The 21,296-nt window shown below is 36.2% G+C and overlaps 1 pseudogene; it reads right to left on the bottom strand.

The window, feature by feature from the left end:
• Nucleotides 1-16,995: 16,995 nt before the first annotated feature.
• Nucleotides 16,996-17,674, bottom strand: CYCSP44 (CYCS pseudogene 44; annotated as a pseudogene).

Genomic DNA, 21,296 nt, shown 5'->3' with positions numbered 1-21,296 from the left:
ATCAAGCTTGGGAAGTGAAGTACTTCAATTCAAAGAACACTTGTTGAATAATTGCTGTGTGCCTGAGTTGTCTCGCTAGATCCTAGGCTTATCCAGAAGTGTATCTTACCTTTGTATCATTCCCTGACAACCCTAGGTTCTTGTAGGAATCTCGTGATTGAGCTACAATGTCCAGTGAAGAATAGGAAGTGTCAAGTCTGCTAATTTAGAAAGAGAATCTCAGCTTTGAATTAGGCATGGGAGCAAAAATAAATAATAATTGTTTTAATGTCACTTAATTTTGGCCGGGCGCGGTGGCTCACGCCTGTAATCCCAGCACTTTGGGAGGCCAAGGCGGGCGGGTCACGAGGTCAGGAGATCGAGACCATCCTGGCTAATACGGTGAAATCCCGTCTCTACTAAAAAAAAAACTACAAAAAATTAGCTGGGCTTTGTGGCGGGCACCTGTAGTCCTAGCTAATAGAAGGCTAAGGCAGGAGAATGGCGTGAACTCGGGAGGCGGAGCTTGCAGTGAGCCGAGATCGCGCCACTGCACTCCAGCCTGGGCGACAGAGCGAGACTCCGTCTCAAAAATAAATAAATAAATAAATAAATAAATAAATAAATAAATAAATAAATTAAATAAAATAAAAAATAAAAATAAAGCCACTTAATTTTTGGGTTAATTTTATGTAGGCTTATCTGAGATCTAGGTAATAGAGACAATATTTGTTTTCAATACTCTACTGCTGACAATGATTCTGCTACAAATAATGTACCAGTTGCCTTAGTGTATGTGGTGGGTTTCTATAAGGTACACATCTAGTAGTTGAATTGCTGGCTTATAGAGTATTTACATTTTCAACTCTACTAGACACAAGGGCTAGTTTTCTCTGCAAAGCAATTGTAATGAAAGAAACATGTTTTAGTGTTTGTTTCTCCTTCTTACTAATAATTGTATTTCTTCTTACCAATAATTTGTATTTTCAGAATTGTATTTGTTGGTCATTCTGAGAGATATGCAATGATATCTCATTTTAATTGACATTTCCATGATTACTGATGAGGTTTAACATATTTTCAAATTTATTGACCATTTGAGTATGTGTGTTTGTTTTCTGTTACAATCTTTTGCCCATTTTTTATTTATTTTACAAGAACTTAATTGATTGATTGATTGATATTTATTTGTTATTTTTCGAGACAAGGTCTCTCTCTGTCACTCACACTGGAGTGCAGTGGCGCAATTATTGCTCAATGCAACCTCAACCTCTGGGTTCAAGCAATCCTCCTGCCTCAGCTTCCCAAGTAGCTGGGACTACAGGCATGTGCCACCACACTCGAATAGTTTTTTATTTTTATTTTTGTAAAGACAGAGTCTCACTATGTTTCCCAGGCTGGTCTCACACTCCTGGCCTCAAGCAAGCCTCCTACTTTTCCCTCCCAAAGTGCTGTGATTATGGGCATGAGCCACCATGCCTGATCAACACGATTTTTAACATTTTCTTTTCTTATATTCATCTGCTCTTGTTTCATTTCTCCCATTGTTCTTAACTACTTTTTAAAAATGGTTGTGATGCTTTATTTAGGTCTTTGAGCATAAGTAAAGAATACTTACTTTAAAATATTTCTCCAGTTCAAAGACTGGCAAACTTTTTCTATAAAAGGCAGGATAGTAAATATTTTAGGCTTTGCAGGCTATACAGTCTCTGTTACAACTACTGAACTCTGCCTTGTAGTGCAAAAGCAGCCAGAGACAATACATACATGAATGTGCATTGCAGTATTCCAATAAAACTTTATTTACAAGACAGGCATTGAGCTGGATTTAACAGGAGGGCCACTGGACTAACTATGCTATATAACTAATTGCATCTGGAATAAATTCCTATTCAGATGGTTGATTTTGCTCATTGTCCCTATATGTCTCCATGTGTTTTAGATTTTGGTTTCTCTTTAAGAGGAAGTGGTTTTTCTGTTGTTGTTATTGTTGTCAATTTCTTGATCGTTTCTTACTTTCTTATTACTCCCAGGCCATCTGTTTCTGGCTGGGAAGGAAAATGGGGAGAGCAGTTAAACACATATTTCCTGGTATATTTGTATATGTATTTATGTAGTTCCTCCTTTGAAACAGGGTCTGTGTCTTATTTCTGTATGCCTAATGACTATTAAAATATCCACTTGACTTTTGGGTACATTTTCATTATGAGTTTTAGAGGAATGTAGATTTAAAGAAAACAATAAATTTCAATTAAAATATTTGATTTAAAAATGTTTCTCCTCCTGCACTGCTAACTGTGAAGTAGAGAACCTTAAAAGATATTTATAATACTGTCTTTCTTATTACTTGATTAATAAGAATTGACCTGAAATAAATTATTGCTCTAATGAGTATTCTGACAGACTCATTTAAAGAAAGTTAATACAGACAAGACTCTTCCCTTAGTATAATAACAATGATTATAATGAACTATTGTGCATACATTTATCTAAACATAATTTGAATCAATTTATTTGAGAACCCTTGTACACAGGAAAACATTAAAGAGAGTAAAATGAAGTCTCAGAAGTGTTTCAAAGTAAATGATTAACACTGAGGACATAATTGAGGGGCAGTTAAGGGGATGTTTCAAAGACATGATTTCCAAATGAATGTCTTGTTATATAGTAGTTAATTTTATTTTCTGACTTAAAAAATCATTGAAGGCTTGCTTATATGCACTTGGTTATCAATTTGCTTGTTAGTTATAATTGCTTCTAATTTGTGTTCTTTCTTTGCTTGATTCTCACATTGTGCAGTGGACCTTGCTTATTTTTAAGTGATTTTCCCATCATGATTTCATTTTATATTTTATTAAACATATTCCACATTTTTTCTGTTATCTTTCTAAGTTAAATGCTGCACCATTATTTTACATCAATGTGATCACCGATTGAAGCCTTCGTCCACAATTTAAGAAACCATTTAATAAAGTTTTAAAAATGCACCACTCTGGAGTTTAGGATTTCCCTTGTTATTGCATTTGATGTCAGTTTCTATTTACTGTAGTTTGTACATATGAAGCATGTGATTTATATGTATCTTTGACCCAAGGGTAAAATATTGTGGAGTGTCATAGTGCATTCTCACTTTTGAATGATCCCCACTGAGTTATTCCAGAAGTCAAATTTCATGTTGTTTTTGCCTTTGACTCCAGGGGGCAGTAGAAAATAAGAAATGATAATACCTTGCCTCATTGCAGTTTAAATTTAATGCAATTATTAAAGCCAGAAGGAAATGACAGATTTTCTGAAGTCAATGAGGATTTCACTGTGTATCTTTTAAGAGATGGACTTTTAAAGGTGGAATCTGGGGTGTCCGTTCAGATCCTCATCTGGAGACCAATAACTGTTTTTCTGTCATGTTTCTGTGTTCTCTTTTGCAATCCTTTATGATTTCAACACAGACAATGTGCTTCCTCTGAAGGATTTACTTAAAATTCTCTATATTTAAAATTGACCTCTCCTTATGCATACACATGTACACATGAGCAGGCAGGCTTACACATATACACATCACCTGTACAGCCAGGGAGATAAGAAGCTGCTAGCATACCATCGTGATGGTATACATAAGCAAGTAATATACTAAAATAGTGGTAACAAAAGCTATTTATTGAGTATCTTCTTAATGGCAGGTCCTGTACTAGGACCTTTATATATCAAGTCTCGTTTGACTTTATAACAAAATCTCTTTTTTACAGGTAAGGAAATTGAATTTCAATTTGTCCAATGACTGCCAGCTAGCAAATGGCTAAAGCCGATTAATAAACATATGTTCTTTTCACTATGGTAACCTGGATGTCTATACCCTACGTAGCATATATTTTATGCAAGAAAGAATAAGGATCAGATGGAAACAGATTTGATGATCCCATTCTATGTGTCTGTTTTGTGTACAACAGTTATTTTTAAAGACTTTCAGTTTTGTTTGAAGTGAACACTTTTTACCACTTCAATATTTAGTCTACACTTGCTAAAAGTCACATCTCCAGACTAATAGATTTTAAGAAGCTACTTTGCTCAACTTCTAAAGCAATTATGGGCTTCAGCATAAGCTTTTGTGTTCAATACATGGGTTCTGGTTGCACAAGCTAGAAGTGGTTGAGTCATCATATTAGAGTGATGTAAAAAGCATTTTTGGCTGAAGAAACAAGGAATTAATATTTGGCCATTACTCTCTTATGATTAGTTCATTACAGATCCTGCCTTTATCTACTTCACAGAAGAGTGCTGAGGGCATCTAAGAGGACAAGTACTGGGAAGTCTTTTTAGAAAAACAAAAGCAAGCAGACCAATATCCATCTTCATTTGAATGTATATTCTCTAAAAAGAAAATGATAATATCAGAAGAAAGGACTAAATACAGATTTGAGATTGATAAATGGTTATTGAAAATCACTGAAGAACATATGATTTAAACTATAAGGTAAACAGTACTGATAAACATTGTAAAGTAGTTATCAATGCTTAGAATAGTACATTGTTAGACCTCGTCTAGACCATAAAGTTCACTTTCTCTAACTCCATCTTTTCACAGATCTGGAAACTGATCCACACATAGGTTTCAAATTGCTGATATGTTTGTCATGTGTCGCACATCCATAATGGAGTAAATGCCATCATAACATCATTTTATGAGAGGCACTGCTTACATGACCTTGATAATCAAGTCCCCAACCTGGAATATAATTGTCAGTTAACATATTACGAGTCCAGATACGTATGTAACAGGAATTTTGAAGGGCCTCTTTAACTTGGGATTTATAAACATAATACAATGATTGAGGAAAAAACAGTGTTCCTATATTAGTTTATTACTCCCATTCGACAAGAAGTGCTGAAACCCTGAAGAACAAATGGCTCCCTTTGTTTTTTTTTAAGTCTTTATTTCTTCTTCATGCAGGTCCTGCATAGCATCATTTTGAATCCCACATTTTGGAGTCTTAATGTCCATCCTGGAATGGATTTCTTTCTTGTAGCAAGATATTGATTATTAATAATTACAAATAATTCTTGGTCTCTTTACATCTGGAATTATTTATTTGTTTATTTATTTATTTGAGACGGAGTTTTGTTCTTGTTGCCGAGATTGGAGTACAACGGCACGATCTCGGCTTACTGCGACCTCCCCCTCCCGGATTCAAATGACTCTCCTGCCTCAGCCTCCCAAGTAGCTGGGATTACAGGTGCCTGCCACGACACCTGGCTAATTTTTTTTTTTTTTTTTGTATTTTTCGTAGAGATGGGGTTTCACCATGTTGGCCAGACTGGTCTGGAACTCCTGATCTCAGGTGACCCACCCGCCTCGGCCTCCCAAAGTGTTGGGATTACAGTCATAAGCCAACGTGCCAGGCCTGGAATTATTTAAAGTACAGATTTGTAAATAACAACTCTTCCTCGATTGATTCTAAGATTTTTTTTCCCTCTAAATTGGATTAGCAAGATGCCTTCTTGTTTTCCAGAAAATGGCTCATCTTTCTATTTGCATAGGTCTGCAGATTTCTGCTTCTTGAATGCTCCCTCTGCTAGTGATTTCTCCTTGCTGAGGCGATTGGTGGGAGAGTGGCAGGGAGGTTATATTCCTCTTCTTTTTTATGGGGCGCATAATATCTAGATTGGAATCTGATCTACAAAAATAGCATCCAGTGGAAAGAGGCATAGACACTATAGTACTTTCCATAAATAAAATTTCATGTAGTCTGGATCTAGCATATCTGAAATTTACCCCTATAACCATTTCATTTCTCATGTGCCTAATAAGCATTAGGAGTTTGATCTTTCGTAACGATTACATTTATTTTAAATATTATATGAGTAAATAAAAACATCCAAATAGGAACTCCTGCATCTTCTCATCACTTAATCGCACAGGCAACTTGTCTCTACACCCATTCTCCATCTTCTGTCCAATATAATAGAAGAAAGAAACACCATCATCCCTACTAAAGGTTCTCTTCTCCATGTTTACCTTGTATCCCATCCCTTCTTGCATGTTTGAGAACTGCAGTTTCTCAACCAACTCCTTTCTCTCCTGCATTATCAGTGTCTCATTCTCTGCAGAATTATTCTCAGCAGCAAAAAAGTCCCAATAGCTCTGATTCTTAAATTAATTTTCCTTCACCCCTTCCTTCTAAATCCTCTCTTTCCTACACATAAAAACTCAACATGTTTGTATTTGCTTCCATATTAACTGTTATCTCAAATTCACGCTCATTTAGGCTTGTGTCCCCTCCATTCCACAGAAACTGCTCTGGTCAAAGTTACTGACAACCTCCATGGCGCTAAATCCAGTGGTTAATGCTCCATTCTCAACTCATTCAACCTCTAAGCATAGTTAACGAAGTGAGCTAAGCCCTCTGAAATACTCTTCTCTTCTGGGCTTTAGCGTCACCAGCCTTTCCAGCTCACACCCCTGCTTCATTGGCTACTGTTTGTCAGTATCCTGTATATGCCTTTCCTCTTCTTCCTAACTTTTTTTTTCTTTTTTTTTCTTTTTTTTGAGACGGAGTGTCGCTCTGTCACCAGGCTGGAGTGCAATAGCGCGATCTCAGCTTACTGCGACCTCCGTCTCCCGGGTTCAAGAGATTCTCCTGCCTCAGCCTCCCGAATAGCTGGGACTACAGGTGCATGCCACCATGCCTGGCTAATTTTTGTATTTTTAGTAGAGATGGGGTTTCATCATATTGGTCAGGATGGTCTCGATCTCCTGACCTCGTGATCTGCCCGCCTTGGCCTCTCAAAGTGCTCGGATTACAGGCGTGAGCCACTGCGCCTGGCCTCTTCTTCCCAATTTTTAAGTGTTGGAGCGCTCAGGGCTTCATTCTTGGCCCGGTTTCCCCCTCTAACTGTACTCACATTCTTCAGTCCCATGACTACATTCTATCTATATCTTTACAATTCTGTGAATTCATATTTTAGCTTGAATTCTTCTCAAGTTCCAGACATATTTTCAGCTACCTACATGCCATTTGGAGAGCTTTCTTAAACTTAACATGGCAGAAAGAGAATTGAATCCCTGCCCTTTCAGCCTCACCTCATAACAACTCCTCTCCTATTTTTACCCATTTCAACAATTAGCATTACATTCATCCATCTCCTTAAACAAAAATATAGGGTATCATCCTCACCCCCTATATAAAATCCAGAGCAAATTCTGTAAGGGGCACCCTTTCTCTCATGCTCACTGGTGCACACACTTTCTCCTTTCTCTTCATGCATATATATGTATATGTGCGTGTATATATATACACACATATGTATATGTAAAGGTGTATGTATATGTATTTTTTCTTCCATGCTGGCCTTCCTTCTGTTTCTCCAACATACCAAGCTACTTTCTACCTTAGGTATTTGCACTTCCTACATGCTTTTCTAGGAATTATGTTCCCTAAAAATCTTAGTAGCCTTGCTTTTCTCTCATTGTCTTAGCTTTAGTACTTTGTAAAGTTGCATCCCCCTTATCTGTTATTCTATTATATTATGTTGTTACTTACAAAAAATCTTCCTACATTTATCTCTGAAATGATCTTATTTATTTGTATACATTTTAAAATTCACTGTCAGAGTCCACTAAGCTCCCAGAAAAAGGAGCCTTGTCTATTTTGTTCATCACTGTATCCCCAGGACCTAGAACAATGTCTGGCTAAATTAGGTGCAGAGTAACTACTTGTCAGATGATTTGATTTTTAGCGATTTTCAAGTTATTTGAAGTTTACAAACTTTGTATGAAGAGATATGCATACAAAGAGATATATAAAATTTTTATACTATAAAAATTTTAAACATATAACAAAGTTGAAAAAAATTGTACAATCAACACCTATATTTCCACCACCTAGGTTCTAACATTAAAATGTTATTATACTTGATTTATCACATATCTACTTATGTATCCATCCTTCTGTCCACATAAATGAATTTTAAAAACTTTTCAAATAGTTTTATAAAGCCTACTTAAAGGAGAGACTTGAGATAGTGAATATTTCCCAAGTTCTTAAATTTCTGTGTATCAGAGAAGAAGCAGGTGGCTGCTCATTTTGGCATCCAGAGCTTTAGAGTGGAATCTCATGGTGTGTTAAGCCACTGTACATTGAACTTTTAAAATTCACAGAAGCCAAAAATTAAAATTGTGTTTTGAAGCTGTTGCTCAGTCACAGTGACAGACAATATCATTGTGGGAGATTAAGTGACTGTGTTAAAGGGAATTCTAGCATTTAATTGAGGATGTTTAGTCTTAACTGAGAAACAATGGGAAAACTAAGCTTTGTAATTAATAAATCTGTTAGAAAAATAACCACGGTTGATTTAATTCTTCTTCTCTTGGTAGACATTGATGCCTATTGTTTCTTTTACTCCTTTATTTTATTTAATTAGTCTGTTTCACTGTTTACTGACACTTGTACTTTTGAGTAGAGAGGAGGAAGTATAAACAGTTCCCAAACTGGCTTAAGTCATAGGATGAAATAATGAAGTATATTGGTGTTGATTAATTCATACAATCATATAATATTGTTTGTCAATTATACTTATAATGTCAGAACTGTAAGGCCCTTTAGAATCATCTAGTCCAATCTTCTCATTTTATTGATAGAAAAACTGAGACTCTGAGAAGGGAAAGGGGGTTTTTCAAGGTTATGTATTTCCAAATCTTATATAAACCTAATATGTCCAGAAGCTAATTCTCTTCTCTTCTTACAGAAAGTCAGAAGAGTTCATTTTCCTGGCCTAGATGATCTCTTGGGTTCTTCTAGTTCTGATGTCGCTTCACTGTCTAATTGGACTACAACTTAAACCTGATGTGCTTTGTATGTTTGCATTGCATTTATAATACTTTAAATTACACTAGTACTTAGGCTTTAATTAATAACAAAAATTACTGGTTTAATGGACAGTTATTTTCTTTTTAATTTGCATATTATTCCTCTTAATATTCTACTGAAGTTTCTTCCAGTTTTCCTGAGTTATCAAGCTTTGACCAAAGAAAAAACTTTAAATGCCATAATAGGCTGATCCAGGTTTAGTGGGCCTAAAGTTCATACAATTTGGGTGTCCAAATGAGAAATAAGGGTTAAAAGTATTATTTCAAATGACCCAGAAAAGTAAGGGGCCCTGAGGGATAAGCTTCATGTACTTCATTGTGAACCTATCTCTGAATGCCAGAACAAATAATTTAGCTAGGTAAATAGCACAGGGAAGGGAAGGGACAAAGGGATGTTAATGTTTTCTAAGTACCCACTGTGTGACCAGCATCATACTAAACATTTAAAATATAGTATCTTATTAAATCCTCACAAAACGATAAGACTTTTATTACGTGTAGGCTATATTTTGTAAATTGGGCAAGTCTGCACAACTAGTAAATGGCAAAACAGGATTTGAACCCAGGTCTTTCTGATTCAAAAATCTGTGCATTCCACCATATCCTTATATGAGAATAGCTGTTATTTTAATGCTCTGTTAATCACAATGGAAAACACAAATATAATCAAATATACATGTTGACAGCTGAGGACTTCCATTCATAAAGGATAAGAGGAATACTTAAATAATGATAATTCAAGACACAGTGTTTTACTTGCATCAAAAAAGGCTTCAAGGTAGAACCATCACTATATCTTTGCCAATGGTAGGAGATGCTCTAACAAATATAAACGTGATGCAACGTTTATTTTTCCAAGCACTTCTTTATTTGATTTTATATTTCAATAGTTTTGGGGTACGAGTGGTTTTTGGTTACATGGAAGTTCTTTAGTGGTGATTTCTGGGATTTTGGTGCACCCATAACTGGAGAAGTGTACACTGTACCCAATATGTTGTCTTTTATCCATCACTGCCCCACCCATTCTTCTCCTTTGAGTCCTCAAAGTCCACTATATGATTCTTATGCTTTTGCATCCTCATAGCTTAACTCCAACTTACAAATGAGAACATACGATATTTGGTTTTGCATTCCTGAGTTACTTCACTTTCGAATAATGGCTTCCAGCTCCATCCAAGTTGCTGAAAAATATATTATTTTATTCCTTTTTATGGCTGAGTAGTATATATATATATACACACACACATATATATACACACATATATATGCATATATATGCATATATATACACACATATATATACATATATACACATATATATACATATATACACATATATATACATATATACATATATATATACATATATACATATATATATATATACCACTTTTTTGTTTTATATATACACATAGTGTGTATATACCACATTTTCTTTATTCACTCGTTGGTCGATGGGCACTTAGGTTCCATATCTTTGCAATTGAGAATTGCGCTGCTATAAACATGTGTGTGCAGGTGTCTCTTTGATATAATGACTTTTCTTTTGGATAGATACCCAGTAGAGGGATTGCTGAATCAAATGGTAGTTCTACTTGTAGTTCTTTAAGAAATCTCCTACTTTTAACCATGCTCTCTCAATCTCCCATCCTGTCCCTTAGCAACATCTTTAGCAGATTTCATTCCTTTGTGGCTATTTTCAGCTATCAAATTTAGTTAAATTGAGTGTAAAAAAATTCAAAAATTTATACTATCTCCTGCTCTAGTGCAGACTAGAGCTCTTACCTGGCTGCTTGGAGGCCGGTATGAGTGGTAGAGGGTGGGGAAGAGTCCAAGTCAACTGTTCTGAGATTATTTTACTTTCTTTCTTTTCTTAAAGGAGTTCCTTTTGTGCTGAGGAAGGGAGAGGGAAATAGTACACAGAGTTCTTCTTACATCATTTATTGGTCACCTGCTGTGGCTGGTGATCCCATTTTGTCCAACTTGGTAGCATCTTCTGCTGTGTGGTTTTCCCATATATGAAGTGTGTGGCTTTCTTGAGGCACTGTTTTGCTTCATCTTGGCCCCCTTCTAATACTGAAGACTATCACAGGAAGGAGCAGTTGTGTCTTCCTTCAGTCTCTCCAGGTAGGGCGTCACCTTATTTGCATGGCATCTCTCTATGTAGTCCTACAACTTCCACCCTTTGTGCTTAGGCTCTCTTATAAGTCCTCCAAGTCCATAAAACTAAGACTGAGGGTTTTACCCATGTTCTTCCAAGGCATAGCTCTCTATAACCTCTTTTGGCCTTGCTGCTATAGACAATTTCAGCAGAACTCCTACCTTTAGAACTAACTAGACCACAAGAGGATATATATTTCAAAGCTATTTTATGCCTCAAATGTCTTAAGGGCTCTCAAGAGCTCTCAATATCCTCCTGTCTCATGGCATTACCAGGGAGAAATTGCAGCCTCATATGGGAAGTGAGAGACATCTCATTTTCTTGCAAGCACCCATGATCTCTCTGAATTATTCTTTTGAAGCTACCCTTTGGCCTCACTTAGCCTGTGTTAATGGCAGAAAGTACTCCATCTACTCTCCCATCAGGAAGGAAGTAATCTCTTACTAGAAGCTCTTTACAAATCACAAAGCCAGTGATTCCACTTATCATACACCTTCTTCCAGGCCATGCAAAAATAGGTTATGTGGGCTGTTTGCTAAACTTTCCAAGGATAAACAGAAACTCTTAGAAACATTAATGCAGAAATAATAAATTACCTAGAAAGGAAAAAAAATATCAAATTTGAATTTTATTTCTCATTTGCAACACTGAAGCTGTAAGCTCTTGAATAGAATCTACAGACCACTGACAAAAAGCACCACAACAAATATCACTCTTACAACAAAGAAAAAGGGCTTCTTGCCCCAACTTGTGATTATTAGAGTGAAACACTCTGACCGTTTTCTGGCTATTCCCCTCCTCATAGAGCAATGAATTTAATGAGTCATGGGGCTGTGCTCACCTGGAGCCAATGGTCACGAGCCAGAAATTGGCCCTTTCTGTACTACCACTTTCCGATACAGAACTATAGCCAAATAATTGATTAGAACCTAGACTGTCAGTTGTTATAAAGGCATGCTTATCAAGGTAGGATACTATAACATGTTTAATGATTTATTAACTTGGTTTATAACTTTTAGTTTATTTTTTAGTTGACATAAAATTTGACATTCTGATATATGTATGTGTAATTTTTAGATATTTAGGCATATGATATGTTGAATTCTAGTTTTGTCATTGTTCTGGGGCCCTCAAATGTTATAAATAAGCCTGATCATAACCCAAGGATTATCCTCCAGCCAAGATATCAGTGATATGTCAAGATACAGCAGATATTTGGAAATGTTTGGGAATTTAGAGACTATATTGTCCATGAACCTCATATGAGTAATACACTTGAGAGAAAAAAATAAAATAACCAAACACTAAAGGAACCAAAAGAGAAACTTTAATATAAAAGGAAGGAAGATGAGAAAAACTGTGGTGAGCAAAATTTTATAGCTATCTATATTCATCTCTACCTCTGTCTCTATCTCTATCTCTATCTCTATCTGTATATTTCCAGCTCTATCTTTATCACTATCCTTATCATTATCTTAATGTAATAGGTTAGAAAGTTTGCAACATATGCCTTAAGGGTTAAAGTGAAAATAAGGGCTCTCAGAATAAACTTAATACAGAGAAAATTTGAATAAGTACTAAGCTATCTTCACAAAACCTAGAATCTGGGGATGGGGAAAGGAGGAAATAAATGTCTTCCAAAGATCACTTGTGGCTGTGGTGGTGGTAGTGTGGTAGGAATACTAGAAAATGTGAAGAATGTACAAATATTCTAAAGTAATCATGTAATTGAAAAAGGGCTAATTAGGGAAGACATGGAGCATCTCGGCAGAGGATACTGCTTCTTGATGTGGGAAATATGGGAGTGGCTTAAACAATCACAGTTTTTTTCACAGGATGGAATATTATGCAGTTATTTAAAAAGCATCAATTAGACTTATATCACCTGAATTGGAGGGGATTTCTATGCGTATTGTTGTGTGAATAAAATATTAAAGTAAGGTATGTAAAACGTGATCTCATGTTGTGGAACAAGTAATAGGGGGATAAAACCTTTCTTGTATCTATATGTCGTATGTGTAGAACTGTATGAGCCTTCAACCAAATATGGAGTGATAAACATATCTACATATAAGGTTGTTAACACAGGTTACATGGGGTGTGGTGAGCATCAGAAAATGACAACAGGGAAAAATGTAAGACTCAATTAAAAAAAGATACAAAAAAGTCCCCACACTAAAATAAAGACAGTGCTGCTTCCCTTCTCTCAAAATAGTATTCCATTCTCAAAAAAGTTTGGGAAATGCCAGATTACACTAGATTAAATAGGTTTTATTATGTCAGGCCTTCACGGAATCTTTACCATATTAAATATGTGCCATGAATCTTTAATGTAAGAATACATTACATAGAATACATTTTTGCAGTGCACCCATTAATAACTCCCAAAAGAAGAATTTTGCAGAATTATTTGGGGGAAATGCTGCTGTAGTCATTTTTAATTTGAAAGTATCGATATTGCCCTCTGGTAGATATATTACCATGATCTTGTTCTATGTCTTGATTAAATACTGTATTAGTTTGTTTTCACACTGCTGATAAAGACATACCCCAGACTGGGAAGAAAAAGAGGTTTAATTGGACCTACAATTTCACGTAGCTGGGGAGGCCTCAGGATCATGGTGGGAGGTGAAAGGCACTTCTTACATGGGCAGCAAGAGAAAAATGAGAAAAAAGTGAGAGCAGAAACCCCTGATAAACCCATCAGACATAGTGAGACTTATTCACTCTCACGAGAATAGCACAGGAAATACTGGCCCTCATGATTCGATTACCTCCCCCCTGGGTCCCTCCCACAACACATGGGAATTCTGGGAGATACAATTCAAGTTGAGATTTGGGTTGGGACACAGCCAAACCATATCAAATACTTAAAGTGCCTTGTCACATTGCTTACCATCATTTAGCACCCCTAAATTGCTGGAAATGATTATGTAGGCATTTCACATTCTTCTCATGCATCTACTATTGATTTGATTAGGGCTGGTTATCACCATCTTGATTACTCCTCTGTCAAATATTACTTGTACATTCATGTTGCCAGTAGATTTTGTGATTTATGTTTATATTTTCTTTTCTTCACATTCCCTCACAAGTTTCAAGTATCACCATGACTCTATATTTAGAGTACTACAATGTTTTAGACACTGAACAACACTTTTCCTTTTCTTAGCTCAAACTTGTACAAGCTGACGGTTTAATCCAGACGCTGTGTAATCCTTTGATTTCAAGGCTTGGACAGTGGTGGAATAAAAGAAATTTATGTTTTCTATCATCTCAGTCAAAAGACAGAACTGAAAAAGAAAATCTTGAACTACAATCATCTCCAGTCTCTCACTGGATACTGTCAGGTTGAGAAAGGTACACAAATTGATAACTGACTTAGATATTTTCAAGGACTTAGAAGATAGGATTCAGAGATTTGCTCATTTAACAGGCATTGATTGACATAGTTTTCCCAGCTATCTGGTAGTGACAAATGTTTTTTGAGCAGTAATTTTTTTTTAACTGTATTTCAGACTCTGAATTCAAAGCTCCAAATAACGTGGAGTTATAGAGTCTCAAGAAACAACCTGTGGTATTCAGGTGAACTAGGGTGTGCTGCAGGAACATATGACCTCCAAATCTTAGTGACTTAAACCAACACAGTTGCTTGCGTTTGCTCTGGGCTCTGCTCCAACGTTATCCTCCCTCTAAAACCCAGCCTGCTCAAATCGCCATCATCTAGAATGTTACTGAATGCTGTGGCACAGAGAAACACTGAGTGTAAAGGCTCTCAAAACTTCCATTGGTGCCCATAAATGAAGTGTTTCACTTTTGTTCACATTGCACAGGCCAAAGCAAGTCACAACTAACTTCAAATGGTTAGAGAAGTACAATCAACCTATGCCCAGAACAAGTTATAATATTGTGAAGAAACCTAAAGCATACCACACAGCCTGTTGAAAGGCCATCTAGTTTATACCTGAACCAAATTTTATCTTTGCTACGGCTAAATTGTACATTCACACACACACCAAAGTCATATACTTATAAAGTGACAACATGTCTGTATTATTACTGCCAGTATTAGAATTCTTTACCTATGAACAAGGTCCTAAAATTTGAGTAACCAGTTGAGCACATAATTGCATTATTTGTTTCGGCTGAGTACTCTTCAGGCTCTTACCAGGATTTGTATGTGTGATTTTCTGAATTAAATACATTTAAAGAATATTTTCAACACAAATACTGCTTATTGCAGAAAGGGAAAGAGTAATATCTAATATTTAAATATCCTTTGATTATTTTTTAATGATATCTCAAGAGCTTTAGTAATGACCAAAATGATTGGAGATAGGAAGGTGGAATGAAAGAAGGGGTATGAAGACAATACTTGAAACATATTTTTAGTCTTTACAAATCAGAATTTGTATTTATGAGAAATTATTGAATTTAAAATGAATTTAGTCTTGTTTACTTCTCATTGCATTAGACTTCAGTATTCAATGTTTACTAAATTATGCTTCTGAATCATATTATCAATAGTATAATATTACAAATTTAAATAATATGCTTAAATATGAAAATGTGTGAACATCTTTCATAAACCAGTTTTAACTTGTTGGAAGAAAGGTAGACTCTAAAATATGTGAAGGGTATAGCCTTTTCAATGATAATCTAAAGCATAATGTTCAAGATATATTTTTAGAGAATCTCTAATATCACCACTAGGGGCACTGAGGGAATAATTTTCTTTTGGAACATTCCTATTATCTTCCCCCACTAGATAAAGTCTCATAGATCCAGAGATCACCTTCCTAGACCTTTCAGGCTTTTGTTCAGAAAACATCTGCTAACTTCTTTTCAAGTCACTATAACCATTTAAAATGCTCACTCTCAGGCTCCTCAGTCACCTTAACTAGAAAAATGAGAAATACTTTAACTAAACAAAGGATACATCTGCAAAATTAGGAACATTATTGAAACCAAAGAGAATTTGATGGTGTTTTGATTTGGGAAATTACAGGGATAGGAAAAAGCCACTTCTTGCCAATTTAGAAATTGTTAATATCTATTAAAAGGAGTAAGTTACCAAAATTGCTAAAGGCAGAACGATGATGCTTAATATGGGGTGCATGATTTCTAAGTCCAAATTTGGGCTCCTTTCATTTCAGCTGCCCTGCTTCCAGGTAGTAGATTGTATTAGGTTCATACTACCTATTGATGTGGAGAAGAAGTGGGTTATTCTCTCTGTTTCTATACCCTGGAGTTCCTTTGCCTACTGTGTGATCCTTAGCTAATCCTAACCCTGAGTATTCGTAAACATCATGTCCAGATGATCTGATGTTCATGTCAAGAGTTCCCAGGTTTTGTCTCTTTTTTTTTTTCCTTAGACATCACCAAATTCTGTGCACTCTGTCTTACTTCATTTTTTTTTTTTTGGTCTGTGATTTTGTTTTTAATTATTTTAAGTCTTATGATCACACATTATTCTTGAATTTGTGTGTATCTCCTCTACTTTAACTCTTTTAAGTTGGCAAAAGCACCATTCCCAATCATAAATACACAGCAGTTCTACAGCTTTATGTTTCTGAATGGCTGTTTAAAGACAATCCTAAATTATAACTTGGTCTGACTTAGATAGTAAATAATTCAAGAATGAAGTTTAACTTGCTACTATTTTAAAAGCATCTGCTCTTATAGATCATCTATAAAATGTGAGAAGTGTTAAATAATCTTTATTTGATATTACATATAAATCTCACTAAAATGCTTTTCAGTAAGTAAAATGAACCATTTTAGATACAGAGAATTCTAATTAGATTGGTCTAGTTGAGGCCAAAAATATAAAGTAGATGTTGCTACTTTATCTTCAGCCCTTACCCTTTAGAGGCAAATGAACACAAAGCACAGGTGGTTTTGAGACAATGAAGGAATTTCTCCAGTATTTAAATATATTAATATAACCAGTTATATAACTCTAAATATAAAACCAAACTCCAATAAGTTTTAAGATGGCATTCACCATATTTGTGAAAAGTTGAACATTACTAATGAAGTCCAGTCATATCTTTAGAAGGAGTAAACAGCGATAGCATTTAGTGAATTGTAACTACTATTAAAATTCAAAAAACTGAACATATTCATTTAACCACAACCCAGTCTTAGTTAAATCAGGACTGCCCAGCAAAAACATTCTGTCAGTCATCGATGATCTGAATTCTGGTGTGTGAGATCTATTAAATTATGGTGCACATAGAAAAGTCATGAGACATTTCTGTTTTGTAATAAATAAGGAAGTGGCCAATTATTACTCATTAGTAGCTTTTTTTGAGATAAGCTATGAACTCTGCCCTTTCTGTCTTCTTCTTAATGCCGGAAAAGATCATTTTTGTTCCAGGAATGTACTTTTGGAGATTCTCCAAATACTCCATCAGTGTATCCTTTTCCCCAGGTGATGCTTTGTTCTTATGGGCATCTGTGTAAGAGAATCCAACGGCCTGACCTGTCTTCCGCCCAAAGAGACCACCCAGATTAGCCCAGTCTTGCGCTTTTGCCTCCCTTTTCCATGGTGTGACACTGGGCGGACTTCTGAACAAAAACCTTCTTGCCTTTCTCAACATCACCCATGTTTAATTCTTTTGTCGCTGGGGCTATGAGGGTTCCCGCTCGGAAGCCAGATGTCCCTCTCTATCCTGTCTTACTTAATTTTGTGCTGCTATAACAGAATACCTAAGACTGGTAATTTATAATTAGCAGAAACTTATTGTCATGTGGTTCTGGAGGCTGGGAAGTCTATGATTGAGGGGTTGGCATCTCTCGAGGGCCTTCTTGCTATATCATTTCATGGCTGAAGGGCAAAGAGGGTGAGAGAAATGAAGAGAAAAGGGGACTGAATTTGCCCTTTTAAAACAAACCCACTTCTGTGATAACAGCATTAATCTATTCATGAGGGGTAAAGCCCTCATGGCCTAATAGCCTTGTACTAGGCCTCACCTCCCAATACTGATACAATGGGGATTAAGTTTCCAACATATGTTTTTAGAGGACACATTCAAACCATAGTACATCTCTATTTTTCAATATGATGCCTAATACTTAATCAATTATTTTATTTTATGCATAAGCTAATCCAAGAGAAAAAGTGTGGCTCTATTTTAAAAGTGAGAAATCAGAATCAGAAAGATTTAATGACTTGTGTAAGGAGAGCCAATATTCGAACCAAGGTCTCTCCTCTTTTAAAACCTGTGGTTTTCTACTATAACATAATCTAATCAATAATCTTCATACATGTATTGTAGCAAAAATACCATTCATTGAAAAGCTAGAAAAAGTGAGGCTGAGAGATGATACTGTTATTGTCATTTTAGCAAAATAATTATACTGTTATGTAGAATAGGAATAGACAATCTACCTTTAAAAAGTATGCTATTTCAATGCTTCAATAATTGACTATTAATACCATGATTTGGAATAAGTAGTCACTAAAATTCACTAGTTTTTGTGGTATAAACCCCTAAACTGATAGTCCTTTCAAAAAATTTTCATTTGTCTCTTTGGTATTGCTAAGCATACATTTTTTTCCAAGAGCCCAAAATTGCACTGAAGAGTGTAATTAGTGGAACGAAGAAAATGCAGTCAATAATTCAAAATTTATTGGTACTATTTCATCTAGGATGTTGGCATTGAATATAACCTTGATTATCTTTTTTTTTACATTCCATTGAACAGTAAAAAACACAAGACATGCTTGTTATTCCACTTTTAAGCATTTTGGTGAAATATAGCAGTTAAGATAATGAAAATGCAGTACTTCATTACAGTGAGATTAGTTTTTCTGGCTTAACTGATTTTCCTCTTAGGCTCTAGAATTAATAGAACTGAATTGTTAAATGAGTATGTTTAAAGTATTCACAGTGACCAATGACCCCACTTACGGAACACAAGAATTAGACCTTTGCTCACACCCTTCATACACCTACACCCTTCCACCTCAGTCAATAGCCTTATTCTAATAGGCAAATACATTCTGTGATCAGTTTACCCAATTCGGAGAGTTTTTGGCACCTCGATTCTGAAGTATATCCCTCTCATGCCAGCTTTTGCAGAAAGTTTTGTGTTTTACTTTGCTCAGGCCGCTATAACAAAATACCATAAACTGAGTGACTTATAAACAACATCAATTTATTGATCTCACAGTTCTGGAGACTGGGAAGATCAAGGCATCAGCAGATTCAGTGTCTTGTGAGAGCCCATTTCATAGATAGCACCCTCTTGCTGCGCCCTCATATGGTGGAAGGGAAAAGGGATCACTGCAGCCTCTTTATAAGAGCAGTAATCCCATTTATGAAGGCTTTGTCCTCATGACCTAATCACCTCCCAAAGGGTCCAACTCTTAATACCATCACACTGGGAATTAGGTATCAACATATGAATTCTGGGGGAGACACACACATACCATGTTTCAGAGGCAGATTTGTTAGCAAGTTCATGAGTATAGCTTATACTTAAGGTAATTATGGAGCTGATGTCGGTTGATTATTTTGCATCCCTTATGTTTTACTTGTATTCCATCTTACAGGGTATGATTAGCTGTATTCTTTCTCTGGCACCCTAGTGTATTCTCCATGAGTACGTATTTTTCCTTTATCTAGTAACATTGGCTTTACTAGGGATAAATCTGGGGCACCAAATAGTATTACTGGGAATCTTGAAGACATAACCTCAATGAGAGATGGCAACACAAGCCAATGGTGGAAGATGTGGGTCTATAAGTAAGGAATTCTTTAAGGCCGCAGTTAGTACAGACTATTTACAGTTGCTTAAACAAATAGCAGTTAGTTTTTCTCACAAAATAGAAAGCCTGGATGTAGGCAAGTGTATCGATGTTAGGGTGTCAAGAGGCCTCTTTTCCCTGATGGTCATAAGATGACATTCGTAGCTCCATGACTTATAGCTTCATTCAAAAGTATGGGTGGGTGGCAGTGGCAGTGTCACCTCTTTTGTCAAAGATGCCAACTCTTTCTTAGAGCTCCTGGGAAGACTTCATTTTATTTCCAGGAGTGTGTCACATAGGTAACCTTAGTACTAAGAAAGGCTTGGGGCCAGCTCAGTGGCTCACGCCTGTAATCCCAGCACTTTGGGAGGCCGAGGTGGGTGGATCACCTGAGGTCAGGAGTTCGAGACCAGCCTGGCCAACATGGTGAAACCCTGTTTCTACTAAAAATACAAAAATTATCTGGGCGTGTTGGTGGGCACCTGTAATCCCAGCTACTCAGGAGGCGAGAGGCTGAGGCAGGAGAATCACTTGAACCCAGGAGGCGGCGGTTGTTGTAGTGAGCTGAGATCACGCCACTGCACTCCAGTCTGGGCGACAGAGCAAGACCCTGTCTCAAAATAAATAAATAAATAAGGCTTGGAAAGCAGGTTTAGACTTTTTAGCTTCTATGAAGAAGGTGGAGAGGTAGGAGAGAATGTTGAGTTGCCCAATTGCATGGACCTTTAGAATGTTTTAGTGCCCTTGCTCCATCTGAGGACTTTTATGCTTCTCCAGGGTATAACCCCGGGAAAACATTTTCAGCTTCCCTGCAGTTATATCTTATTCATGTGACCTAGACATACTTGTGTGAGACTTTGATTTTGAGATGAGAAAATGGAGGAAGGTGATTTCATGTGAAATCCATTTTGTTGAAAAATGTTGAGGTATAACTGTCTGATTTGGGGGGGACTGACAATTGCAAAGTTTAGTTTCTGGCTCAACATTTGCCTGGGCAGGGGACAGTGGAAGCAATGGCAGTGATTTCCTCTAGTGCTCATCGGAAAAGCAACTGTGGCTGTTTCTCCTTTTCTTTTCTTTTCTTTCTTTCTTTCTTTCTTTCTTTCCCCTTCCTTCTTTCCTTCCTTCCTTCCTTCCTTCCTTCCTTCCCTTTCTTTTCTTTCTTTCTTTCTTTCCTTCTTTCTTTCTTTTCTTTCTTTCTTTCTTTCTTTCTTTCTTTCTTTCTTTCTTTTCTTTCTTTTCTTTTCCTTTCTTTCTTTCTTTCTTTCTTTCTTTCTTTCTTTCTTTCTTTCTTTCTTTCTTTCTTTCTTTCTTTCTTTTTTTCTTTCTTTTCTTTCTAAATCAATCTAACATTGTAGCCTGGCCTTAGGCATTATTCCTAAAGGCTTAACCTTTAGTCCCATCCTACCTACCTCGAGACGATTCTGTGAATGATCCAATATTCTTTAATTCAGTTTATTTTCTTCTTAAGTAACTAGAACCATGTTGGTTGCTTGCAACTAAAACCCTAGGTGATACAGTGAGCAAAATTAGGGGTG

This window comes from Homo sapiens, chromosome X (genome assembly GCF_000001405.40).
Source record: "Homo sapiens chromosome X, GRCh38.p14 Primary Assembly".
NCBI lineage: Eukaryota > Metazoa > Chordata > Mammalia > Primates > Hominidae > Homo > Homo sapiens.
Note: the sequence above shows the minus strand (reverse complement) of the source record. Positions and strands in the feature narration are given on the sequence as shown.